Source organism: Homo sapiens, chromosome 20, assembly GCF_000001405.40.
Source record: "Homo sapiens chromosome 20, GRCh38.p14 Primary Assembly".
Classification (NCBI taxonomy): Eukaryota; Metazoa; Chordata; class Mammalia; order Primates; family Hominidae; genus Homo; species Homo sapiens.
The window spans coordinates 63823466-63849149 of record NC_000020.11 but is presented as its reverse complement, the minus strand read 5'-3'; the positions used below and the strand labels follow the sequence as shown (position 1 = coordinate 63849149).

The 25684-nt window shown below is 59.0% G+C and overlaps 1 protein-coding gene and 1 non-coding gene across 11 annotated transcripts in view, besides 6 other annotated features; both read left to right on the top strand.

Annotated features, from left to right (window-relative positions):
- The first annotated feature begins 837 nt into the window (after positions 1-837).
- Positions 838-5888, top strand: C20orf181 (chromosome 20 putative open reading frame 181). Its single transcript, XR_001754451.1, has 2 exons — positions 838-924; positions 5242-5888. It is a non-coding gene; the product is annotated as a chromosome 20 putative open reading frame 181 (transcript).
- Positions 2588-2737: a silencer, noted in NCBI's record as "fragment chr20:62477766-62477915 (GRCh37/hg19 assembly coordinates)". NCBI's record gives its function as "represses an EF-1alpha promoter that drives an FKBP-Casp9 reporter gene in an ReSE screen in HepG2 liver carcinoma cells {active_cell/tissue: HepG2}" and the evidence as "EXISTENCE:reporter gene assay evidence [ECO:0000049][PMID:32094911]".
- Positions 4565-5242: an enhancer, noted in NCBI's record as "H3K4me1 hESC enhancer chr20:62475261-62475938 (GRCh37/hg19 assembly coordinates)". NCBI's record gives its function as "activates a minimal SCP1, AML or CMV promoter by ChIP-STARR-seq in naive and primed H9 embryonic stem cells {active_cell/tissue: H9 hESC(naive and primed)}" and the evidence as "EXISTENCE:reporter gene assay evidence [ECO:0000049][PMID:30033119]".
- Positions 13820-14114: an enhancer, noted in NCBI's record as "tiled region #10064; HepG2 Activating DNase matched - State 4:PromP". NCBI's record gives its function as "activates a minimal TATA promoter and a strong SV40 promoter by Sharpr-MPRA in HepG2 cells {active_cell/tissue: HepG2}" and the evidence as "EXISTENCE:reporter gene assay evidence [ECO:0000049][PMID:27701403]".
- Positions 13820-14114: a silencer, noted in NCBI's record as "tiled region #10064; K562 Repressive DNase unmatched - State 8:EnhW". NCBI's record gives its function as "represses a minimal TATA promoter and a strong SV40 promoter by Sharpr-MPRA in K562 cells {active_cell/tissue: K562}" and the evidence as "EXISTENCE:reporter gene assay evidence [ECO:0000049][PMID:27701403]".
- ZBTB46 (zinc finger and BTB domain containing 46) overlaps positions 15255-25684 on the top strand; it is a 90226-nt gene continuing 79796 nt past the window's right edge. For 5 of the 10 annotated variants that reach the window (XR_936500.3, XR_001754167.2, NM_001369741.1 and 2 more), the window contains exon 1: positions 17886-18053. The gene's annotated coding sequence lies outside the window, so the exon portion shown is untranslated. Of the gene's footprint in view, positions 17202-17885; positions 18054-18319; positions 18453-18512; positions 18594-24665; positions 25032-25684 lie in introns of those variants that run through there. The other 5 variants (XM_011528548.3, XM_005260197.5, XM_005260198.5 and 2 more) reach the window with 5 other exon arrangements.
- Positions 17729-17868: a silencer, noted in NCBI's record as "silent region_13187". NCBI's record gives its function as "represses an Ori minimal core promoter by ATAC-STARR-seq in GM12878 lymphoblastoid cells {active_cell/tissue: GM12878}" and the evidence as "EXISTENCE:reporter gene assay evidence [ECO:0000049][PMID:35858748]".
- Positions 19451-20142: an enhancer, noted in NCBI's record as "H3K4me1 hESC enhancer chr20:62460361-62461052 (GRCh37/hg19 assembly coordinates)". NCBI's record gives its function as "activates a minimal SCP1, AML or CMV promoter by ChIP-STARR-seq in primed H9 embryonic stem cells {active_cell/tissue: H9 hESC(primed)}" and the evidence as "EXISTENCE:reporter gene assay evidence [ECO:0000049][PMID:30033119]".

Below are 25684 nucleotides of genomic sequence, written 5' to 3'. Positions count from 1 at the left end.
CATTCTTTTTTTTTTTTTTTTTTTTTGAGACGGAGCCTTGCTCTGCCACCCAGGCTGGAGTGCAGTGGTGTGATCTCGGCTCACTGCAAGCTCCGCCTCCCGGGTTCAAGCAATTCTCCTGCCTCAGCCTCCTGAGTAGCTGGGATTACAGGTGCGCGGCACCACACCGGCTAATTTTTTTTTGTATTTATAGTTGAGACGGGGGTTTCACCATGTTGGGCAGGCTGGTCTCGAACTCCTGACCTCAGGTGATCCACCCACTTCGGCCTCCCGAAGTGCGGGAATTAAGGTGTGAGCCGCCGCGCCCGGCCTTTGGTCATTCGTTTGAAAGGCTGCTTTTAGATGACATTTAGCATCATTTGCTGCTCAGGTGATTGGGACAGACTCTGGCAGAAGCGCTCACAGATGACCAGCCAGCTGGCGTGTTGGGCAAGAAGTTGCAGCCAGGAGATCATGTGGGAGCAGGGGTGGAACCCTCCAGGCCTCCCAGACCGGCAGGGTCTCCTGGGTCCTGGCTGAACCGGTGAGGTGAGCGCAGGAGGTCTTTCTCCTTCTAGTGCCTTCAGGCCCCTCCAGGGTCCCTCATCTTCCAGGGCAGTGAGCAGAGGTCGGGTTCTACTGCTGCTCAGCCCCCAGGAGCTGGGGTCCCCATGGCTGTCACCCCATCGACTGTCCCTGGGCTTCCTGTCCTGGGCCTGGGAGGGCCAGGGCCAGCCTGAGGCCTCTCCTGGAGGTGGCGACCCCAAGATTTGCAGAGCTGAGGACAAACCCAGGCCTGCCGGTGCCTCCCACACACGTGGGGCCCCTGGGGGCGGGGGCGGCCATTCCACTCCGGCCATGACAGGCCTCATCCGCCAACACCTCCAGCCCCCACTGGAGGTGACCTGGACTGTCTGTGGACACTGCTGGCTGAGGGTGGAACTGGTGAGCCCCAGGCCCCAGTGACCCTTTCCCCCGTGGCCTTGCCCGGGGCTGGGAACCTCCGGACTGGGCGTCCTGTGTCCTGCCGAGAGGATGTCCTGTCCCCTCCCCTGCCCTCCGCATTCCTCTAGGAGCTGCCCTGGGCCTCCTGGGGTGGAGGTGGGGTGTGAGGTGGAAGCTAGCCCCTGCCCCTCACCCTGGCACCTGAGCCCCAATTCTCCCAGCCCCCAGCTCCCTCCTCTCGCTGGATCCGGAGGCAGTGGCCCCAGCCAGCACCTGGGGTTTTTTTCCAGGACTGACTCCAATTCCCTCAGCGGGGGTCAGGGGGCAGTTGCTCCACGGAACAAAGGCTGGGGGAGGAGAGGGGAAGTGGGGAGCAGGGAAAGGAAGGGGCCGGGCTGAGCACATTCTGAGGTCAGCTCTCCGCTGCCTCCCCTGCAGCCATCCTCTCCTGGGGCTTCCTGCCCTGAGAGTGTGGGGGCGAGCATGGGGGAAAGGGGAGGCCACAAGCCCGCCCTTCACAAGCCCGCCCTTTGGTGGGAAGGGTGTGGAGACCCCTGGAGCTTGTCCGTCCACTTCAGGGGGATTCAGGGACATTGGGCTGGTGCTGGGGGAAGGGGCAGAGCAGGCAGCATGGGCAGCTCCACCCCCAAGCTTCCCCCACCTCGGCCTCCGGGTGTGACCGGAGGGTCCGACCCTCCCCACAAGCCCCACAGCTGGTGGTCTCTGGGCATCTGTGCCTGTGTGTGTCCATGAAGGGGTGGGGCTCGCCTTCAGGGTGTTTGAGTCTCCAGGCATCTGGTGAGGTCTGCCCACAGCGTCCACACACATCTGCCCTTGTGTCCTGAGGGTCCTTGAGTCTCACACACTCCTCAGCTGTCCCTAGGCAGAGTGTGTGTGTGTCTCTGTGTATGTCAGTGTGTGTCTCTGTGTCAGTGTGTGTGTCTGTGTGTGTGTCTCTGCTTGTGTGTGTCAGTGTCTATGTGTGTTAGTGTCTGTGTGTGTCAGCGTCTGTGTGTGTGTCTCTGTGTGTCAGTGTGTGTCTGTGTGTCTCTGCATGTGTGTGTGTCAGTGTCTGTGTGTCTGTGTGTGTCAGTGTCTGTGTGTGTGTCTCTGCATGTGTGTGTCTCTGTGTCTGTGTTAGTGTCTATGTGTGTGTCTGTGTGTGTCAGTGTCTGTGTGTCTCTGTGTGTGTGTCAGTGTCTGTGTGTGTCTCTGCGTGTGTGTGTCTGTGTGTGTCAGTGTTTGTGTGTGTGTGTGTGTCTCGGTGTGTGTGTGACAGAGTGAGCCTGGGTGTACCCCCAGGTGTGTTTTTGAGTTTGTGTCTCAGGCTTGTGTCTGAATCTTGGAGTATCTGTGTGGCCTCTGAGTGTGACTATATTTGCAGAGTGGAATGAATGATGTTTCTCCTCTAAGGTCAAGAATGACCAGCACCCCCAACCCACCCAACTAGAAAGCCTGAACCCTGGGAGGGGTGGGGGCGGGACGGCAGCTGCAGCTCCTCCCTCCTCCCCACTCCCTGCAGGGCTGGGTCCACCTTCGGCTCCGGCTGCTAAGCCAAGTTAAAAATAGCCCGGGGCCTCTGGAAGTGAAGGGTTGGGATGGAGGGAGGAGAGCAGGAGGCATCCTGGCTGTCCAGCGGAGGGCGGGTTCCCCAGGTCCCGAGCCAGTGCTCCCCGGCCCGCCGGCCCGGCTCCAGCAGGGTGAGCCCCCACATCCGCAGCCCCACCTGCACGGCTGTGGGACACCCCCACCCCACATGGCTCCTCCAGACTCTTCCAAGAAAGGCAGAGCGGGCCCCGGGGCGTCAGCCTGGCTGCCCTGCTCTGAGCCCAGCCCCACCCGCACCTCCCTCAGGGGCTGCTCTCTCCTGCCGCCTCCTCTGCGTTCCCTCCACGAAGGGTTGGGGCCATGACCCGGCAGTCTCTCCCTGGCTTTCAGCCCAGTCCGCCCTGCGACTTCCCTGGAGGGAGCAAGGTCATCTTAGGGGCCCAGATGGGACAGGGCAGGAGGAAGGCAGGGGCCTCAGGGAATGAATGCTCCTCCCTCTGGAGGGGTCAGGGGAGGGTTTCTGCTTGTGTGTGTAACTTTTTTTTTTTTTTTTTTTTTGAGACGCCTCTCACTCTGTCGCCCAGGCTGGAGTGCAGTGGCACAATCTCAGCTCACTGCAACCTCCACCTTCTGGGTTCAAGCAATTCTCCTGCCTCAGCCTCCCAAGTAGCTGGGACTACAGATGTGCGCCACCACGCCCGGCTAATTTTTGTATTTTTAGTAGAGACAGAGTTTCACCATGTTGGTCAGGCTGGTCTTGAACTCCTGACCTTGTGATCCGCCCACCTCTGCCTCCCAAAGTGCTGGGATTACTGGTGTGAGCCACCGCGCCAGGCCTGTGTGTGAAACTTTTTTTTTTTTTTTTGAGACGGAGTCTCGCTCTGTTGCCCAGGCTGGAGTGCAGTGGCGCGATCTCGTCTCACTGCAAGCTCCGCCTCCTGGGTTTATGCCATTCTCCTGCCTCAGCCTCCCCAGTAGCTGGGACTACAAGCGCCCGCCACCACACCCGGCTAATTTTTTTATATTTTGGTAGAGACGGGGTTTCACCGTGTTAGCCAGAATGGTTTTGGTCTCCTGACCCTGGTGATCCACCCACCTCGGCCTCCCGAAGTGCTGGGATTACAGGCGTGAGCCACCGCGCCTGGCTTGTGTGTGAAACTTTTTATTGAAGTTTCACATACAGGCAGAAAAGCATCACAGAAGTATCACATACATGCAGAAAAACATACTCATCCTAAGTATGTGGCTTCCTGAATTCCCATAGACTGAATGCCTCTTGTCACCAGCACCTGGATCAAGAAAACAGGACATTGCCAAACCCAGGTGGCCCCTAAGGCACTGCTGGCCAATGCCCCAGAGGCCATCATTCATGGACCCCATCCACCTGCACTGGTCCTGCCTGTTCCCGAACCTAATCCGTGCTGGGCACCAGCTCTGCCTGTGCTTCTGGCCTCTGCTTCCCGTTGTCTGAAGCAGGGGCCATGGTGGAAGCCAGGTGGTGCCTGGCGTTGAAGGTGGCTCCTCCTGGCTACAGTCACTGTCCCCTGGATGACAGGCCACACCCAGCACTGATGGGCATTTGGGTTTTCCAGGTTGGGGCTATTATGAAAAGGGTCGTTTGGAACATTCTTGCTTGTTTTTTGGTGCCCAAGTATAGATTCCCACTGGACATATCCCTCGGAGTGGAACTGCCCGTGAACTGGCTGCAAATTCCTCTGAGCCTCGGCTGGGGGAGCCAGGCACACTATCCCGGAGGATGCTGGCATCTGCTGTGATTTCAGGGAGTTCACACCCCACCCTGGGCCTGAGCCCTGGACCCACACGCTACTGGGTCCAGCCTTTGCAGTCTGCTTGTCTCTGGTGGGGCAGGGCCTTGGACTGGGGTCCCCCAGGAGGGATGGGCAGTGCATGTGTGCCCTCCACCAGGCTGGGCACACCCAGAGGAGGCGCCCATCCTGGAGGCCCACACCCACCCTTCCTTCCTCAGGAAAACCTGTGGTCTGATAAGGCCTCCAGTCTCTGGTTTTCAAAACCACCCCGGCACCAGGACCCCCCAAGGGAGGAGGGGCCAGAGCCCGCCCAGCCTGTGGCAGTGGGGGCTACAGAACCCAACTCTTGGTGGTGTCCACCAGCCCCTGAGCAGCAGGGCCTCCCGCAAGGCTCCGAAAGAAGAGGGGAGCTCTGAGCACCCTGGGTCTGGGGGCTATGAGGCAGGGGCGGCCAACTCAGGTGGAATGGCCGCTCCTTCCTGCAGCCCCACCCCTGGGCAGGGCACCCCCTCACCCAGGCCTTGGCCAAGTCCCCAGTCCCCCTCCAGTCCCTCATCCTAGGTTTTCCCTTTGATGCTCCCTGATTCTGTACCATGATGGTCCCTCAGGGGCGGGGGGCCCAGATGAGAAGCCCTCCCAATTTTTGCTCACCACCCACGTATCTGCCCAGCTCCCAGGACCAGGCAAGCCCCTTTCCTCCAACCCAGCCGTCTTGCAGGGTCCTTTAGCCCCCAGGGTTCCCAGAAGCAGCCAGCGATAAACCTGAGCCCAAATCCCAACAGAAAGGAAGTACCCACAGGGCATCCAAGACGTGCGAGCACAGCCCACAGCCAGGGAGCGGCCCTCGGCGCCCGCCCCACCGTCCACCTTGCAGTTGCCGACCCACTTAGGGTAACAACGCCCACGAGAAAGGCAGTGTTTCTGCAGCTTTGCTCCATGAGGTGGGTTCCCTGGTGCAGCCTGGTGCTCAGAGCAGCGGGAGACTCGCCCCGCCCCACAGCGGGTGGTAACTCCAGTTCTAGCCAGGACAGATTCAGAGCCCTCAGGACTCAGGGGCACACACAAGCCACACAGGTGGGGCTGCAGATGTGGGGCTCACCGTGCTGGAGCCAGGCTGGTTGGCACTGGCATGGGACCTGGGGAATCAGCCCTCGGCTGGGCAGCCAGGATGCCTCCTGCTCTCTTTCCTCCATCCCACCCCTTCCACTTCCAGAGGCCCCGGGATATTTTTAAGGGGAAGGGGAAGGATAGAGAGAAAGTGCAGGCAGGGCTGGGGTCTGGGCCTGTGGGATCCTCAGGCAGGAGGGGAGGGCTATATCATGATGGCCTGGAGCTGGGGCTGGAGGTGAGTCTTCCCGGATGCTGGGAATCACCAGGCGGGCAGGAGGGCTGTTCCAGGCTGAGGGAAGGGCAGGTGCAAAGCCCAGAGTGGGGAAGACGCTGGGCAGCAGTGTGGGTGGTGCAGCCGGACTGGTGGGAGAGACGGAGGCTGCGGCCAAGCGGGCCACGAACAGCGGCTCAGCCGGCCACCTCTCTCAACAGAAGCAGGTTGTGCAGGCCTGGCATTCATGTTTCATGAGGCGTGCACAGGTACAGATCAGAGGTGGAGCCAAGGCCATCCGAGCAGGTGGATGGGCAGCAAGGAGAGAGAGGTGGTGTTCTGCTTTTTTTTGTTTTTTGGAGACAGGGTCTTGCTCTGTCACCCAGGCTGGAGTGCAATGGCGCAATCTCACCTCACTGCAAACTCAACCACCTGGGTTCAAGTGATCCTCCCACCTCAGCCTCCCAAGAAGCTGGGACCACAGGCATGTGCCACCACACCCAGCTAATTTTTATATTTTTTGTAAAGACCGGGACTTACCATCTTGCCCAGGCTTGTCTCGAACTCCTGTGCTCAACCTCACAAAGTGCTGGGATTACAGGCGTTCGTTCTATTTTCAATTCGGGTGTTTTCTTCTCCCATCAGACTGTGCTAATCTGAAAGGGACCCCAGAGTCCGAGCTGTGTGGGATATCTGGGGAGGGAATATCACCTGCTTGGGGGTGGAGGCTTTAGCCAGAACTGTGCAGGAGAAGAATGGGCTAGTCTTACCTGACTGGGGCTGCAGGTCACTTTGTTCCATTTTGATGGGGACCCAGAAGCCCAGAGCACAGATTCTGCCGTCCCAAACCCCAGCCAAGGTAGGGAGAGAGCCCTGGGTCAAGCTATAATCTGGACTGGGTGCTACATCTCCATCCTCCGGAAGCAGCTTGTGGAAGCCCCACTTGGGGCCTAGGTGTCCTAAGGATGGGGCTCTGCCCTAGCCCCTGCACAAGGGACCTCTGAAACCCCAAACAGGGAAGAGGAAGCAGTGCTCTGAGGTCCCCTCACCGCTGCACGGCCTCCCCGACCCCAGCCCCTGTGCACCCCGGGGGTCACGGCTCTGCTCCCTCTGGCTTCCTCCGGGGGCTTCCCCAGCCTCTTCCCCCCAGGACGCACCTGCAGCCCTGGCCTCTCTCCTCCAGCCTGGGTACCATGTCCACACCCCTCTGTTTCCTGTACCATGAACCATCTGCCATCACCCACACTGGCTGTGAAGAGATGTTGGCCCTCCTTTGACTTCTCTCCCATCTCCTACTTCTGCACAATCCCAGGGCATATCGGCCCTACGTCCTAAAAATTTATCTGACTAATCATTATTAGATCAAGTCTGTCTCTCGTTCTAAAGTCCTAATAGCGGCCGGGCGCGGTGGCTCACACCTGTAATCCCAGTACTTTGGGAGGCTGAGGCAGGCAGGTCACCTGAGGTCAGAGGTTCAAGACCAGCTTGGCCAATATGTTGAAACCCTGTCTCTACCAAAAATACAAAAATAAGCCAGGGATGGTGATGTGTGCCTGTAATCCCAGCTACTCAGGAGGCTGAGGCATGAGAATCACTTGAACCCAGGAGGTGGAGGTTACAGTGAGCTGAGGTCACGCCACTGCACTCCAGCCTGGGCAACAGAGTGAGACTTTGTCTCAAAAAATAGGCCGGGCACGGTGGCTCACACTTGTAATCCCAGCACTTTGCGAGGCCAAGGAGGGTGGATCACGGGGTCAGGAGATCGAGACCATCCTGGCTAACATGGTGAAACCCTGTCTCTACCAAAAATACAAAAAATTAGCCAGGCGTTGTGGCGGGCGCCTGTAGTCCCAGCTACTCGGGAGGCTGAGGCAGGAGAATGGTGTGAACCCGAGAGGTGGAGCTTGCAGTGAGTCGAGATCGTGCCACTGCACTCCAGCCTGGACGACAGAGCGAGACTCCATCTCAAAAAAATAAATAAATAAATAAAATAAAATAAAATAAATAAGGGGCTGGATGCAGTGGCTCACACCTGTAATCCCAGCACTTTGGGAGGCCAAGGCAGTCAGATCATGAGGTCAAGAGATTGAGACCATCCTGGCCAACATGGTGAAACCCTGTCTCTACTAAAAATACAAAAATTATCTGGGTGTGGTGGTGGACGTCTATAGTTCCAGCTACTCGGGAGGCTGAGGCAGGAGAATTGCTTGAACCCGGGAGGTGGAGGTTGCAATGAGCCGAGATCGCGCCACTACACTCCAGCCTGGCAACAGAGCGAGACTCCATCTCAAAAAATAAAATAAGTAAATAAATAAATACCCTGGATGTGGTGGCTCACGCCTGTAATCCCAGCACTTTGGGAGGCCAAGGCGGGCAGATCACCTGAGTTCAGGAGTTTAAGACCAGCCTGGCCAACATGGTGAAACCTCATCTCTACTAAAAATACAAAAAAATTTAGCTGGGTGCGGTGAGGGGCGCCTGTAATTCCAGCTACTTGGGAGGTTGAGGCAGGAGAATCGCTTGAAGCTGGGAGGCGGAGGTTGTGGTGAGCCGAGATTGTGCCATTGGCCGGGGCAATAAGAGCGAAACTCCGTCTCAAAAAAATAAATAAATAAATAAATAAATAAACATAGTCCTAATAGCATCTTCAGCCCAAGGAAAAGCCCAGAAGCCCTGGCTTGACATCAAGTTGTTGGAAACTGGCTCATTCCCATGGTCCCAGCAAGGCCTCTGAGCCTCATCTGTACTCCTCGTGCACGTGCTCAGGGCTTGGCCCAACCCTGTCCAGCTCAGGCTGGGCACTCCCCATCCCCCCGCATCTCCATGGCCACGGCCCCCAAGCTTCCCAGAGCCCCACCTCCCTCCAGAGGGGCACCTTGCCTTCGATCCTGAGACTTGGTTCACGGCTCACCCTTGGTAGGGCGGGCCCCTGAAGGGCAGGACCATTTTTTGCCCAATGTCCTGAACTGGACGTGGCTGGCAGATGACATCAGAAAGTGCAATGCAGTTGGCATGACACGCTCACAGACATGGTTAGCCACCAGCAAGCAAGCACACAGACCCACTACACATGGGTGCACACAGGCAGACACAGTCACCATCCACAGACACACATGAGCAAGCATACGCTGGCAGGAGCACAGACACGCGGCTGAGACTCAGGCAGAGGCATGGGACCCGGAATGAGACCCAATCCCAGACACCTGAAGGCGGAAAGACAGGTTTTACTCAGATTGCGGTGTGGGGGCAGACTGCAGTATTTTTTTTTTTTTTTTTGAGACGGAGTCTTGCTCTGTCCCCCAGGCTGGAGTGCAGTTGCAATCTCGGCTCATTGCGAGCTCTGCCTCCCAGGTTCACACCATTCTCCTGCCTCAGCCTCCTGAGTAGCTGGGACTGCAGGCACCCACCACCACACCTGGCTAATTTTTGTATTTTTTAGTGGAGACAGGGTTTCACCATGTTGGCCAGGCTAGTCTCAAACTCCTGACCTCGTGATCCGCCCGCCTCGGCCTTCCAAAGTGCTGGGATTACAAGCGTGAGCCACCGCACCGGGCCAACCCAGGTTTTTAAAGGGAGAACAGAAAAGGAGCAAAAAAGGGGTATGGGGAAGTAACGAAGGGGTAACCCAAGAGGCGCTGGGGAAATGGAAAATCACAGAAGGACTGAGTGGAAAACAGGGAAAGTGCTTTAGCTGTGGAAAGTTTGCACTGGGATAGAGTTTGCACTTTGCATTTTGGCAGCACTTTGTTACCTTGAGCAGAGACCAACACAGAGCTGGAATCACCTTTAGGGATGAGGCTCCTGCAGGCCGATGCCAGGCTGAGCTCTGTCAAAGTCTCTCAGGACGGCGTTCTGGTAGGTCTCCTCCGCAGTGTGAGGGCTCACAGTTCGTAACACGCAGGTGTGAACGCGGGGACCAACCGTCCTTCCACGGGGCGTACCCTGACTCAGCTTGGAGGTTCTGTGGTCCCTGTGGCCTGTGTGTGCTTCCAAGCTGGGCAGAGCCAGGAGCACCCTGAACCCCCGAATTCTAAAACCAAAAATGAGCATCTTGCCTGAGACAGGCCTGGAGAGGCTGCTTAACTCCCAACGCCAGGGTCAAAAGAAGGTGGTTTTCTTTGATTGTTTGGTTTTGCATTTTCCCCTTTTAAAAAACAAACTTTATTTTGGAATAATTTTAGATTTCAGAAAATGGGCGACATTGCAGGAGGGGTGCGGTGGGTCACACCTGTCATGCCAGCACTGTGGGAGGCCGAGGTGGTGGATCACTTGAGGTCAGGAGTTTGAGACCAACCTGGCCAACATGGTGAAACCCTGTGTCTACTAAAAATAAAAAAATTGGCCGAGCACAGCGGCTCACACCTGTAATCCCAGCATTTTGGGAGGCCAAGGCGGGTGGATCAAGAGGTCAGGAGTTCAGGACCAGCACGGCCAAGATGGTGAAACCTCGTCTCTACTAAAAATACAAAAATTAGCTGGGCGTGGTGGCGGGCGCCTGTAATCCCAGCTACTCAGGAGGCTGAGGCAGGAGAATCGCTTGAACCCGGGAGGCGGAGGTTGCAGTGAATCGAGATCGTGCCACTGCACTCCAGCCTGGCCAGTAGAATGTGTGACACTGCAAAGCACAGAGTCCTATGCACCTGTCACGAAGCCTCTGTCTTCCCTGACGTCGCCATCCTGTGTTGCTGGGTTGCCTTAGGAAGCCCACGTTGGGGTCCGTTTATCTCCCCCGCAGAACGGACTTTATTTGAAGTCTACCAGTCCTGCCATTGATGGCCTTCTTCGGCTCCAGGGCCCTATCAGGTGCCACAATGTTTAGAGCTGTCCCGTCTCCTCGGGCTCTCCTGTCTGACAGTTTCTCAGATTTCCTTGTTCTTGGTGACCTTTGAGGATCACCGACAAGGTGTTTTTGTAGAAAGTCCCTCAGTTTGTGTCCAGGCACAGTGGCTCATGCCTGTAATCCCAGCACTTTGGGAGGCCGAGGCGGGCAGATCACTTGAGGTCAGGAGTTCAAAAACGGCCTGGCCAACATGGTCTTGTTACTAAAAATCCGTTTCTACTAAAAATACAAAAAACAGCCAGGTGTGGTGGCAGGTAACTGTAATCCCAGCTACTTGGGAGGCTGAGGCAGGAGAATCACTTGAACCCAGGAGGTGGAGGTTGCAGTGAGCCGAGATCTTGCCACTGCACTCCAGCCTGGGCGACAGAGCGAGACTCCGTCTCAAAAACAAAAGCAACCACAACAAAAGAAAGCCCCTCAGTTTGGGTTTGTCTGATGTACTTTCTCAGCAGTAGACTGAGGTTTTGGGTTTGGGAAGGATTTCACAGAGGTGGGGTGCTCTTTGAGTCACCTCTTATCAGAGCTGTGGGGCATCCGTGCGATCACCTGGCGACGCTCACCTGGTCACCTGGCCAAGGTGGTGCCTGCCAGTCGCCTCCTCGGCCAAGTTCCTCTTTGCCTGTCTTGACTCCGCTCTTTGGAAAGGAGTCCCTAGACCCAGTCCTCACTCATGGTGTGTGCATAGGGGTAATCTCTGCTCTCGGAACCTACAGGTATTACTGGGAATTCTTTTGTAGGGGAGGTTGGTGTCTTTCTTGCATTTAATTGTTCTTATTTTTTATATCAGCACGCGCTCCAGCTTGGGGTCATAAGCCAGCACTATATGATTCTGCTGTTCTCCTCTCTGGCCCTCCTGCCCCCTGTCATCCCACCATGGCCAGGAGCTCAGCTTGCCTTTTCCTGCTCTGCCCCAGCACCAGCCATGTCCCCAAGGGGCCCATTCCCAGTTCCTTTTTATCTCAGAAGAGCTCGTTTATGAATTTGCTGACCTGTCACCGACTCTCCACTCTTGCAATACAAGGGGTTTTTTCTGGCTCTCCAGACCTAGCACGTCCTGGCACGCGGTAGGTGCCATGATCCGTGAATGCTACCCTGCAAGTGAGTGAGTGAGTGAATGAGGCTGAGGCAACAGGCTGGCCTTGTGCAGGGCTGGGGCCTCTCCATATCCACCAAGGGAACCCCAGCAGCCCCCCTCTGGTGGAAGGGGACGGGCCACAGCCACCTCCCTTCTCTCTCCTTCCCAGGCCCCAGCACCGGAGGTGGGACCAGGTGACCCTGGAGAGTCCTTCCCCTCACTGTTCCCCAAGTAGGGAGATTCCTGGTACACCATAGGTGCAAACCTTCCTCCAGGGCCAGCCCGACTGACAGGCTGACATGGCCCCCCGTGCCTGCTCCACTATGTCCCATCCTGGAAGGCGGACTGCCCAGTGACAGCTCCTGGAGGGGACACCAGGGAGAGCCAGGTGTCCATTTCACCTGCAGTGGCTATCTGCAGAGCCATCACCCGCCTCTGCAACGCGAGCCCTCAGAGGCCAGGGGCCCCTGGGGAGCAGCTGTGTCCCTTCAGCCGGGACTGAGGCCCCGGCCCCCATCACCTCCTGGTGCTGACCGGCTGGTCCAGAGCCTGGGATGGAATTACAGCCCCAGGTCTGACCCGCAAGGGCAGCCGTGCCTCCCCTAGGCCTGGTGAGCCAACTTGCAGGCACCCGCTGTGTTTGAGGGATACGGTCTAGCGGGCTGGGGGATATGGAGGGGGGTCCTATGTTGGAGGTGGGGATCAGGGACCACTGGGATGAATGCAGAGAGAAAGCTCCAAGGAGGGAAGGGGCAGCAAGGCCAGGGCTGGGACTGAGAAGCCACACGTTGGAACTTAAAGGGACTCAGGCCGGCCCCGGGTGCCAGGTGGTGAAGCAGGAGGGAGTCCAGGATGGCCTGGGACAGCTGAGGCCTGGGAGCTGGTTCCACCCTGAGCTGTGCAAGGCTGGTAGGGAGGGGCCCGTTCCCCCCAACATGGCTGGGAGGACCCTCCCGGGGTCTGTGGTTAGGCCAAGCTGTTCACAGACCCTCTGAGGGAAGGTCCAGCTCCGCCCTGCAGCTCCCAGGGCCTGCTCCAGCTGCGCTCTGGTTGCCTTCCCACCCCTGCGCTGGGCCTGACGTGGCCCCTGGCACTGAGGATGGGCTGCCCTGCCTTCTCCCCTGCCCCTGCCCCTGCCCTGCCCGCGCTCTCCCTGCCCTGCCCGCACTCTCCCTGCCCCTGCCCTGCCCGCGCTCTCCCTGCCCCTGCCCGCTCCCCTGCCCTGCCCGCGCTCTCCCTGCCCCTGCTCTGCCCGCGCTCTCCCTGCCCCCTCCCCTGCCCTCGCTCTCCCTGCCCCTGCCCTCTCCCCTGCCCTCTCCCCTGCCCTGCCTGCGCTCTCCCTGCCCCTGCCTTCTCCCCTGCCCCTGCCCTGCCCGCGCTCTCCCTGCCCCTGCCCTCTCCCTGCCCCTGCCCTGCCCACGCTCTCCCCTGCCCCTGCCCTGCCCACGCTCTCCCTGCCCCTGCCCTCTCCCCTGCCCTGCCCGCGCTCTCCCTGCCCCTGCCCTCTCCCCTGCCCTGCCTGCGCTCTCCCTGCCCCTGCCTTCTCCCCTGCCCCTGCCCTGCCCGCGCTCTCCCTGCCCCTGCCCTCTCCCCTGCCCTGCCCGCGCTCTCCCCTGCCCCTGCCCTGCCCACGCTCTCCCTGCCCCTGCCCTCTCCCCTGCCCTGCCCGCGCTCTCCCTGCCCCTGCCCTCTCCCCTGCCCTGCCCGCGCTCTCCCTGCCCCTGCCCTCTCCCCTGCCCTGCCCGCGCTCTCCCTGCCCCTGCCCTCTCCCCTGCCCTGCCCGCGCTCTCCCTGCCCCTTGCCTTCTGTCTGCTGGGGCCTCAGGTCTCAGACCTTCAGTGCAGTGCCTCCCCCGCCCCATCCCATCCCATTAGGGACACGGCAGGTGTGGCCTGGCCTCTGTCCCAGGGAAGGTCTGGAATGCAGATCCCTGGTGTGGTGGCCTGGAGTGGTGGTGGGAGCCAGGGCTCAGGAAGGGAGGGGGCTGGCAGTTGGCAGCAGCATTTTGGAAGGACGATTGGGGGTGAGCAGGCGCTTGGAATGGAGACCGGTCGACAGTTGGCTGTGGCAGCTGGAGCGGCAGTTGGGGCTTGGCAGGGGCGCAGGCCCGGAGGACAGTTGGGGTGGGGCAGCCGTGGGGTTGGCAGGTAGCCCCTGGCCCCAGAGCAGCTCTGGAGGGTGGTCCTGGGGAGGCCTGGGTGGGAGGGCAGGGCCAGCTGGCACTGGACCTGGCCAAGCCAAGCCCGAGAGGAGGCCCACCTCTATCCAGCCTCGACAAGGCCACCTCCCCCAGCCCGTGGGTGGGGCTCTCCTGCAGCCCACGGCCGGCCTCCAGTCCACCCGCAGGACCCAGGATGACGTGTGGTGGGCGGCTCCCTGGACAGCCCCAGCATCCTCAGGCTGGTGGCGGGCCTCTCTCCCCGCCCTGCCCTCTGCCTCTCCCTCTGTCTGGGCTCCCAGCAGAGGCCTGGAGAGGGCAGGGACAGGTTCTGGGCAGTTCCCTGGGAGGGGGCAGGACTCCCAGGGCTGTTGCCATGGGGACGACTGAGCAACACCACTGGCTGGTGAATAAACAGGCAGGTTCCCTGACCAGTGACTGAGACAAAGACAACCACAGAAATCCCAGCTGGGGGTGGACAAGGAAATGCCTCCTTGGGAGAAGAGGGGGTGGCAGTAAAGGCCCTGGCGAGGTTGGGGAGCTGCTTGGGGGGGGGTGGGGACACAGACAGGAAGGGGTATCTTGTTCCTCGGGAATTTTCTTTCCCAAAGCTCCTCCCAGGCCATCCTTCCTGAGGATGAGAGGCAGATCCCTACTCTCTTGGTGGTGTCAGAGCACCTGGAATGGGGCTGGGTCCCCTCCCAGATCCCCATCCCCTAGAAGCCACACAGTGAGGGTGGAGGGCAGGTGGCCGGCTGGCAGGGTAAGTGGTGCAGGGAGTCTGTGAACACAGGTCTGCGGAGAGGCCATAAGCGCGAGGCTGTGCCAGGACCCTCGGGGGGCCCTGCCAGCCAGATGGCTCTCCATTTGTGTCTCTGGTTGAGTTTTCCCAGGGGTTTGTGGGGGGCACGTCCCTCAGCAGGTACATCCGTGGGGCTGCCCAGCCTCTGCACCTTGCCCTGAGCCCCCCGTCCTCCAGAACTCCTGGCCTGCTGCCGCTCATCCCTCATAGGCCTCAGGGTCCCTTGGACAGGCTCCCAACGTGCTCACCCAGATGGCTGGGGGTGACTTTCAGGAATGACCACGTAATGCAGCGTGGACAAGTGTGCCCTACAGAGACCTGACCTTTTGTTCACCTGTCTTGTTCACCCACTTGGCGAGGTCAGGGACCATGTCCAGTTCATCATGTCACCCTCAGGGGCCCCACCCTCTGGACCCTCCCAGACACCCATGTGCTGGCCTCCCAGCCCTGATCCCAATGCTGCTGAGGCCACACTTCACATTCTCTGTTCCCAGAGCTGCCTCCCAGCCGGCTGTCAGGCGGCAGATCCCTCCTTGCATCTGTGGCCCCCAGGCCTGGTGTGCGTCACCTGCACAAGTGTCCCGGGGCCCTAGGAAGAGGGGGCACCGCGGCCCAGCCTGGCATCCCCCCGTCTCATGTCTAATCCCAGCAGCAGCTCAGTAGATGCTGGGCTCCAACAAACCTGAGGTTCCTGGGCCACGGGGCCAGCATGCCCGTCGGAGCAGACACTCCACGTGGCTGTAGGAGTCCAACTACTCCACCCTCCTCGTCCTCCCAGTTCGGCTGAGAGGCTGCAGCTGCTGCTGCTGGTTTTTGTTTGTTTTTCTTTTAAATAGTAATGGGGTTTATCAGCTCTTGGAATAACGGTCTGTAGGACTTAATCAGGGCGCTGTCTCTGAGACCGGTCTTGGTTCTTCCTTTTTGACATACTGTCTTCGTCTCCAGGCTGCTTGACCTTCTGTTGGTTCTTGGAGCAGAAAAGTCAGGAGTCTCTGTCCCGTCACTGGCAGTGTTGCCGAGGGGGAAGCGGGGAGGAGTGGGGCTCCCAGGTGAGAGGGGGCCCAGAGCCTCATCCGCCCCGTTCATTCTAGAACTCAGCACGTTTCTTTTTTTTTCTTTTTTGAGACAGAGTCTTGCTCTGTCGCCCAGGCTGGAGTGCAGCGGCACGAACTTGGCTCACTGCAAGCTCCACCTCCCGGGTTGACGCCATTCTCCTGCCTCAGCCTCCCGAGTAGCTGGGACTACAGGCACCTGCCACCACGCCTGGCTAATTTTTTGTATTTTTAGTAGAGACGGGGTTTCACCGTGTTAGCCAGGATGGTCTCGATCTCCTGACCTCGTGATCCGCCTGCCTCGGCCTCCCAAAGTGCTGGGATTACAGGCGTGAGACACCGCGCCCGGCCCTCAGCAAGTTTCTACCAAGACAGGCAGCCCTAACCTGGCAGGTGGGGTTGGCCTGGGTCGTGGTGAGATCAAGGTTTGGTTCTTATGGGCAGGCCTCCTAAGCGATGACTGAGTGCCACTGTGTGTTCCGCCAGGCAGCTGCTGCTGCTCTCCATCCCTGCATGGACAACGGACATGGCAAACCATCAACACTGCTCTCCTTGGAGGCTGTCTAGGGAGGTCCAGACATCTTGGGAGAGACTGGGGTTCTCTTTTGCGCAAGAGAGCATGGGCAGGCTCTGCGGGAGGCCCTTGGGGCAGGCATCAGGGCTCTGGTCCTCCTTGCTTTGGCTCGGTGGGCCCGAGCTCTCCTGTCTCCCCAGGCCTCCTTTCCTCCGTGGGGTACAACTGGGCTCTGGGTGGGCAGGTGGGGGCTCCTGCAGGCAGTGCTGTTTTCTCCAAGGGGGATGCACGTGACCCGCCAGACCCTCCTGGAAGCCGCCTCTTCTCAGGGTGGTTGTGCTCAGCCCCCACTTCCCGAAGGTCGGTGAGGCTGGGGCTACAGTTTCAGACCAGAGCAGGCAGTGCCACCGAGAGGGTGCCGCGCGAGGTAGGCCGGCGACGGGGCTTCCTGGGCCGCAGTGCCATCCCGGCGACCTTGGCGAGGGGATGGGAACGGGGTGTCCGCACAGCCATTTCCAGGCGCCCGCGACGGCAGTAAGGGAGTGTCCCAGGCGTTGGTCCCGGCAGCCACACCTCGCTTCGCCTTTGCTCACTCATGGAGAGCCCTCAGCCGCCTCCCACTGCCGCTCCTGAATGCGCCTCACACATCCAGATTTGAAAGCACCCATAGGGCCGCCGCCTCCCACCTCCCGAGGAATCCGCTGCGCTGGGCCCGCAGGGAGGCAGGCTGGACGGCCCGGGCGCCTCCCCATTGGTTGGCCGGGCCGGGCTCGACTCCCTCGCGCGGCTGCCGGCCACAGGCTCACCTCCCTTCCCGCCGCGCCCGGGGAGAGGAAGCGAGGTGGCCTTTACCCCTGCGCAGGCCGGCCAGGAATGCGGGGCCGCGCTTCCCACTCTACCCGCCCGAGGGCTGAGGACGGCGGAGGCGAGAAGCGACGCGCAGAGTCCGGGCGCCGAGTGGTGGAGACGCGTCCCAGGCCGTTCGGATCGGGGCTGCACACGGGCTGGGGCGAGGCCCGGGCCGCTGGTTCCCGCCCCCTCCCGGAGCCATTCGTCCCCCGCAGACAACACGACGGGAGGGACCCACGCGCGGCCGCCGGTGCCCCTAGTCAGCCAAAAGCGAGCCCCACTGGCGGGCACCCCCACGAGGCCTGCGCCCGAGGTGCGCCGATCTCCGGGTGCGCCGAGGCCCCCGAGGGTAGGCGCGCGCGGTGCCCAGGCCCTTCCAGACCCCGCACCCCGGGCGGCCTTCCTTGGGGGCGCCTTTTCCGCACCGCGAGCGGCCCGCGTTGATGCCCGGCCGGGCTGGGGGAGTCGCCAAGTTTGCGAGACGCGCGCAGTGCAACCGCGCGTCAGGCGCGGGGACGGCCGGTGACCTGGGCACCCGCGCGCCCCCGAGGAACCTGCGCGTGGGCAGCGCCCGGTGCGCGGCCCGGGAAGGGAGCGGGTGCCCTCGCCGGGGTCGCCGCTCCCGTGGGGTGTTTCCAGGCTGCTCCGCGCTCGCGGGGCAAGGGCGCAGCGGGGGCCAGGGGGACCCCCGCGCCGCGCCGCCCCAGCCCCCCGCCAGCCCAGGGGAGGGGGCTTCCCACAATGCCCAGCGAGCTCCAGCCCGCACTTCCGCTGTCCGGCTGCCCGCGGGGGGGAGAACGGACCCCCGGCGCGGCCCCCTGCGACCCCGCGGCGCGGCGCCGGGAGCCGAGCGAGGGGCGGGGCCGGCGGCCGGGCCGGCGTGGGCGGGGCCCGGGGCGGTGGCCGCGGCCGGGGCGCGGCGCGGGCCAATCAGCGGCGGCCGGGCGCGCGCCGGGGGGCGGGGTCAGGGTCCGCGGGCGGGGCGCGCGCGCGCGGGCGGCGGGGGCCGCGGGGTTGGAGCGGGCGCGGGGGCGCGCGCCGGCCTGACGGACCGACGGACGGACGGACGGACCGAGCAGCCCCGGCGAGCGCGCAGCTCGGACCCGCCCGGACGCAGCGCCCTCCCGGCGGCGGCGGCGATCACCGGCGCCGGCCCGGCGGCCGCGGCGCCCGCCCTCGCCCGCGCCCCATGGGGTCACAGGTAAGCGGCGCCGGCTCATTGTCCGCGCGGCCGGGCGGGCGCATCGCGGCGGGGGCCGGGCCCGGAGCCGGGAGCCGGGAGCCGGGGCCGCTGCGAGCCCGGGCGCGCCCCCGCCGCCGGCCGCCCCGCCACGCCCCGCCCCGCGGGGGCGCCCTCCCGGGGGCCATCGGCGCTCCCAGCTGCGGCGCGGGCTCCGGGGGCGGCGGCGGAGACCCCGGCCCGGCCCCCGCGGGTGCCCCCCAGGCCGGCGGCGCGGGGCGGGGCGCGCGGGGGCGGCGCGGGTTCCCCGCGGGGCTGAGCGCGGAGGCGGCTGGGCTGCCCCGGCCCCTCGGCCCCCGGCACCTCCCGCCGCCGCCGCGCTCCCTCCCCGGCACCTCCGAGAGGGGAATTTTCCAGCTGGTAATTTCTGCTGCGTCAACGCCTGGCCCCGAGGCAGCCCGGGGGCGTCTTGGCGCCCCCCGCCCGCGCCCCCCGCCGGCACAGCCCAGCCGCACCCGGAGCCGCCCGCGCCGAGTTTGCCAAGAGTCGGAACTGCGGGAGGTGGGCGCGGGCGGGTCCCGGCGCCCTGAGGCCGGGGGGTCATTGTCTCCCCGGACGCCGGGCGCCGGCCTGGTCTCCATCTTAATCGCCGGCCGAACCGGGGCGCAGGGGCCTCGGGGCGGGGCGGCTCGGGGCGCGGAGGGCTCGGGGCGCGCGGGGCGGACGGGGCGCGCGGAGGAAGCGGGGTCCGCTGCGAGCCGCGTCTTTGTTTCTCTGTAAATAGACATGTCAGTTTCGCGGGGGAGCGCGAGCCGGTGTCTGACAACTCAATCCCTAAGGCAAACGGGGAATTCTCTGCGCCAGAGGGAGGGCTCCTGCTAGTTGGGGTTCCCCTGGCCCCGCTGACAGATTCACTGTTTGTAGGTTTAACGAAGCACACACAATAGGGCTGGACCGAGGAGCCAGGGTACAGACCAGATGGGGCGAAGAACGGATATTTTCTGACAGCGAAGAAATATAAACAAAAGAAAGTTTGAGATTCGCAGCGAATTTCCTCTCTCGCTTTCCGTGCTGCAATCTCAACGATGCATTTGGAGTGGATTACGGTGGCAAGATTGTGATCAGCATTGTTTAAAGAAATGCTAATTAGAAACGTGTTTAGCGCGCGGCCTGGGCGCAGACACCTGTGCGCCGAGAACTCACGGGCATTTTAATTGTATCGATTGTAGAATCTTTCATATTGGCTCTATTATCAGAGCTAACTTCCCGTTTGGGTAACAGACTGGATACATCTCTGCTGCTGGCACTCACGCTGCCTCTGCAAGGCACTATTTCACTCTACAAGAGTGGAAAATAGTTTGTTCATCAAAAGGAAATGTATAGAAGGGGTTTTTCACATGAATAATGAAGCAAGCGACAGTATTTATCAGAGTAGAACCTTTCTGCTCGGTGTGTTTTACGTGTTTCCAACTGGCACTTTTGGGCACCTCAGCCTGGTTACCACTGCAGAAAGGACTGAGGAGTGAGGGGAGTACTTGGGCACAAGTTACTGCAAATTTAGGTGGGAACTTACTGTGTCCCCTAAAAAGCTAGACATCTTCTCCGTAACTGAAGGAAGAGGGCTGGGGAGTTACTGTCAGATTTCTCCTTGGGGCGTGGAATGCACTCACTTTGAGGTGTTTAGAAATCCGAAATTCCGCCTTGCCTTCAGGCCAGCCTGGGGACAAGCATTTAATTAAGCCTCTCACTGACAGCATTATCCTGAACGTGAGAGTTTTCTTTTGCTTAGATGAGGTGATTTCTGTTCGGGTTTAGCTGTTTTGTGTGAGGATGAGTCGTTCTGTGCTCAGACCTGAGTTCCACTCCTGTTTCGGATGTTCGGGTTGGGTGGACTGTTACCTAAGGGCCCCCAGGTCAGTTCCACCAGGGCCAGGCTGACCCAGTGCCCTGCGTCCTCCGTCCCTCCCCAGCCCCTGGTGGTCACAGAGGTCAGGAGGTAAACCCTGTGAACGGTGAAACTGCTCCAAGGATTTAGAGGAAATGCCGTGGGGGGTACACAGTTGTTATTGTCAGACGATGTACTATTTACAAACACTGAATTAAATTTTAGCAGAGTGAACTTTCCAACACTGCCCTGACGTGGGGTTTTTAAATTAAGGGAAATTGGGCCACTCTGTCCCTGTGGCCTGTGTTTCTGGGACAGCGGTGCAGCTCCAGTGCTCTGTTCTCCATCAGAGGTCTTAGCCCGGCCTCTCAGAGCCCTGGAGACCCACTTCGTGCACGGTGCCTAGACGGCTCCACAGCCTGAGAACTGGAGCCGGTTCCTCCCACTGCCGTGACTGGTGCCCAGGCACCCGCTCCACTGCTGAGTTAAAGTGAGAGGAAAGGTCTAGAAGTCCTTGCCCCTTCCCATCCGCACACCCAGTGTCACGGCGTCTGCCGTGGTAGGTTCCCTGTCCTGGGGACTTCGTGTTCTTGCCTAAGTACCGTTCTTGTAAAAACTCAGGCTGCTGCTTCTCCCTGGGCTTTGCATGTTTTACCTGGAAGTCTCATGAGTGACCTTGAGTGATGGTTGATACTTCCCTCTACTGGTTTTTCTAGCAGATTTAAAAAAAAAAATACCCTTTGAATCTGTCCCCTCCCCTGGGGGAAAAATTCATCTTGTTGCTGCTAAGTTTGCTTGAATGGCCTGACTCCTAAGAATAAATGTTTGATTCAAAATCTCTATTAAGGCCACAGACTTATTCAGGGCTTTGAGAGGCCGCCGCCTTATCCTGATTGTGGTCCTCTTGCCGTCTGCCGCGGCTGCGGCGTAGCTGTGAACTTGTGCGGAGTGCTGGGGTCTTAGGCCATGGGGTCCATGGGAGGGATTTTCCTGCTTTTCTGTTATCACTTAGACCCTTTGAGTGCCTCACATATACAGACCCAGGCTTGGTGTTCTGGTTTGCTGGTGATGACAAAGGGCCCCAATGGTGTTGTTTATAGATGGAAAAGAGAAAGGATGTTTTTTAACAACCTAAAAGTGGTTCTGAGGCTGGGCGTGGTGGCTCACGCCTGTAATCCCAGTGCTTTGGGAGGCTGAGGCGGGCGGGCCGCTTGAGGCCAGGAGTTTGAGGCTGTAATGAACTATGATTGTGCCACTGGACTCCAGCCTGGGCAACAGAGCGAGGCCTTGTCTCTAAAACAATAAAATTAAGTAATAAATAAACAAATAAAACATTGTCCTGTTAAAGCATAAAAACAAATGAAACCAGTGAAATTTGACCTAAGTATGATTTATGCAAAGTGTTCTGTTGAATGGTTCTGTTGCATAGTTGAGTATCAGCAGTGCCGTTTTACTCTAATTTACAATTTAAAATTATTAAATGCTTCTAAACATCATTATCTGGATTAAAAATTTGCTACCATAGCTATTTTACAATAGAAAGTTGAGAAACATTAGTGTATTTTTCAAAAGCATTTGCAGATCTTTTGTGGTTTTTTTTTTTTGTTTTTTTTTTTTTGAGACGGAGTCTCGCTCTGTCGCCCAGGCCGGACTGCGGACTGCAGTGGCGCAATCTCGGCTCACTGCAAGCTCCGCTTCCCGGGTTCACGCCATTCTCCTGCCTCAGCCTCCCGAGTAGCTGGGACTACAGGCGCCCGCCACCGCGCCCGGCTAATTTTTTTGTATTTTTAGTAGAGACGGGGTTTCACCTTGTTAGCCAGGATGGTCTCGATCTCCTGACCTCATGATCCACCCGCCTCGGCCTCCCAAAGTGCTGGGATTACAGGCGTGAGCCACCGCGCCCGGCCATCTTTTGTGTTTTGACAGATGGGCTTTTGCGTCTTACCGGAGACACTCGGGGTTTCCTATTCATGACAGCTCTTTGGTGTTACTGAGGGCCTGCTGTGGACCAGACTTTGGGCCAGGTTGGTGACAAAGTTCCCACGGAGGTGGGTTGGGGGCACGCAGAAACCACTGATGTGACCCAGTGTGGTGGCTGGCAGAGGCTGGCAAGAAACGGCCCAAGGCTGGGAGGAGGGTGCCTGGACTGCTGTGTGGACTGCTGTGGGGACTGCTGTGGGGAGTGGCACCGGAGCCCAAAGGTGACTCGAGGGAAGGGAGTCCACTCGGAGATCCACCCGCACGGTTCCAGACCTGGCAGTCATCCGGTCCTGGTGGAGCGAGTCATATTCCAAACCCTGCTTCCCGGAGAGTGGATTGCTGGCCGGAGGGCAGGGCCACTGTACGTAGGAGGCAGCTTTTGGGAGCTGGTCAGCTGTGGGGGTAGGCATGAGGAGCAGTTGAGTTTCACGTTGTACCTTCTGAAGACTTGGTTCAGCACACATAATGCCTTCCCAAGGACACTCGCTGTCTTTTTGGAAAAGTCATCCGTGAAGCATTTCTTTTTTTGAGAGGGAGTCTCGCTCTGTCGCGCAGGCTGGAGTGCAGCGGCGCGATGTCGGCTCACTGCAAGCTCCACCTTCCGGGTTCACCCCATTCTCCTGCCTCAGCCTCCGGAGTAGCTGGGACTACAGGCGTCTGCCAACATGCCCGGCTAATTTTTTTTTTTTTTTTAAGTAGAGATGGGGTTTCACCATGTTAGCCAGGATGGTCTCGATCTCCTGACCTCATGATTCACCCGCCTCGGCCTCCCAAAGTGCTGGGATTACAGGCATGAGCCACCGTGCCCAGCCAAAGCATTTCTTCTCTGGGCCTGTCATTGTCGGCCCAGGTGTCGCCCCCGGGCTCCTCTTGGTTTCTCTTTGAGCATCTCTGACTTACTAGCGACTCAGTCCTTCTCAGTTTCCCCCAAAATGGAAAAGAGCCACATATGTGTGTGAACAATCAGTTTCTAAAAATGTCTTCATTTATCTGAAAGTCGGGCAGCATTGCTGCTTGCATGGGACACACAGATACTTTGTTTGTAAGACATTTTCGTTTACAAAAGTGCATCACATCATCTCTTCCAACCACTCTGAAGAAAATGAAGAAAATGAAGCCTCTTGCACAGAAAGCCTTCCCATTCGCTGGCATATCGCTGCACACGAGGCCTGCGTCGGTGCTCCTCTGTGGAGATGTGGAGAGGGGCACTGCTGTGCCTTGGGCTACGTGCAGAGGGCTTAGGAACTCCCGGTGTTGACAGCTGCCTTTGTGAGAGGTGGACACACCTGGACCGCGTGGCCCACGTTACTCTGGGCAAGTCGTCTTCTTAGTGTGGGTCACCCGCCGGATGGACAGAGGCTTTGCTTATCTGCTGGGGCATGGGGAGCAAAACTATGGCTCTTAACTGGGCAGAAGAACGAGAAGTCGGCCCAAGCTAAGCATTACCTGTCGCAGTGTTGATTCGCCGCTTTCCCAACTGACTTCCCTGAAAGAATCCCACAAAAAGTCACAGAGATTAGAAGCTTCTGAGTTATGAAGAAACTCGAAGGCCTGGTTGTTGATTTCTGGGCTGTGGAGGGGCACATCCAGACACACAGGCTTTCTAGAAACACACTCATAATCCACTCATTGGCCATAGCCAGCCGCTTTGCAGAGGCTGAGAAGTGGAGCAAGGCTGTTCTGGTTGGAGGAACAGCAAGTGCAGGGATAGAACCAGAAAACAGAGTTGTTGACACAAAGTGCCCAGGGCTGTTTGTGCAGCATGGGGACAACTGGCCCTGGGAAGCCGGGAGGGAGGGGTTTGATGGTAGTGAGATGGTGGGCGGGAGGGAGGGTTTTTTTTTTTTTTTTTGAGACGGAGTCTTGTTCTGTCCCCCAGGCTGGAGTGCAGTGACGAGATCTCGGCTCATTACAACCTCTGCCTCCCGGGTTCAAGCGAATCTCCTGCCTTGGCCTCCCTAGAAGCTGGGATTATGGGCATCCGCCACCACGCCCGGCTAATTTTTGTATTTTTAGTAGAGATGGGGTTTCATCATGTTGGCCAGGCTGGTCTTGAACTCCTGACCTCAAGTGATCCGCCTGCCTCGGTCTCCCAAAGTGCTGGGATTACAGGCATGAGCTACTGCACCCAGCCAGGAAGGGTTTGATGATGGTGAGATGGGGGTGCAGTGATGGGAAGATGGGGGAGGGAGGGTTTGATGACGGTGAGACGGGGGTGCAGTGATGGGAAGATGGGGGAGGGAGGGTTTGATGACGGTGAGACGGGGGTGCAGTGATGGGAAGATGGGGGAGGGAGGGTTTGATGACGGTGAGACGGGGGTGCAGTGATGGGAAGATGGGGGAGGGAGGGTTTGATGACGGTGAGACGGGGGTGCAGTGATGGGAAGATGGGGGAGGGAGGGTTTGATGACGGTGAGACGGGGGTGCAGTGATGGGAAGATGGGGGAGGGAGGGTTTGATGACGGTGAGATGGGGGTGCAGTGATGGGAAGATGGGGGAGGGAGGGTTTGATGACGGTGAGATGGGGGTGCAGTGATGGGAAGATGGGGGAGGGAGGGTTTGATGACGGTGAGATGGGGGTGCAGTGATGGAAACATCACCTCTCAGAGCACCCAGAAGAACGGGGGTGGGGGAAGGCGGTAAGTGTTCCTTGGCCACGTGAAATTTTGGGTGGGATTAGAACCTCTGAGTTGTCCTGCAGACCCTGAGCTTTCAGGAAAAAGGGCGTGGTTCAGGGCTTTTGTGGCAACCGCCAAGTGAGTTTTTCTGATATTTGCTAAATTAGCTTTCAAGACAACATGGTCTGTAGTCTTTCTTGTCTTGGTGTGGCCCTATTTGAATAAAATGGGTGTTCTCTTTCCATGCCATTTAAATTATTGAATCTGGTGAATGGCAGTATCCTTTTATTTGGCAAGTTCAAAGCCAGCTTAGGTATTTTCGAAAGAAGTAGAGATTATTCAGCTCCTTTAGGGGTGGAGGACAGACTGGCTGAAGAAGGCACTTGTTTGTCCAGGTCCAGCCCCATTTCTTCCTCCTCCCATTTCAGTGTGGAATCTGCAGACCCACAAGACTCGGAATTTCCCATGCTTCAGGGAGGCCGGCTGCTCAACCTCGAAGGTGGCCCTGATGCTTAGGTGGGACGTGTCTGCTTGTTACCCATTCAAGGAAACAGAGGACTTTGGCCAGCGACCCTGCCCTGAGCCTCTGGTCTCTAAAGAAGCCTTGATTCGCCTACAGCCTCCTCTCTGCACTCAAAATCTCCACTTCTCAAGTGTAATCTGGTCGTTTACGTTAGTCCTGTGGGGAGCCCATTCAACGGTTTACATTTCCTTTTACAAACAGAAAACGGAGCAGTCCCAAAGAACACACACACACACACACACACACACACACAAGGTTCCTAGAGGACAAAGGTCAGGACAGGAATCAGGACAGAGGAAAAGGAATTGGAAGACACCACAACGAGAAAACTTGTTCTGGGAAGTGTGTGGTCAGGGATGCAGTGTGACGTGGATATTGTCCTTTTTTCTGGTCTGAATTATTTAATTTTTTTTTGAGAAGGGGCCTCGTTCTGTTGCCCAGGCTGGAGTGCAGTGGCACAGTCATGGCTCACTGCGGCCTCGACCTGGGCTAAGGTGATCCTCCCACCTCTGCCTCCTGAGTACCTGGGACTACAAGCACGCACCACCACACCCGGCCAATTTTTTTATTTTTGTTTTATTTTTATTTTATCTTATTTATTTATTTATTTTTTTGAGACAGGGTCTCACTCTGTCGCTAAGGCTGG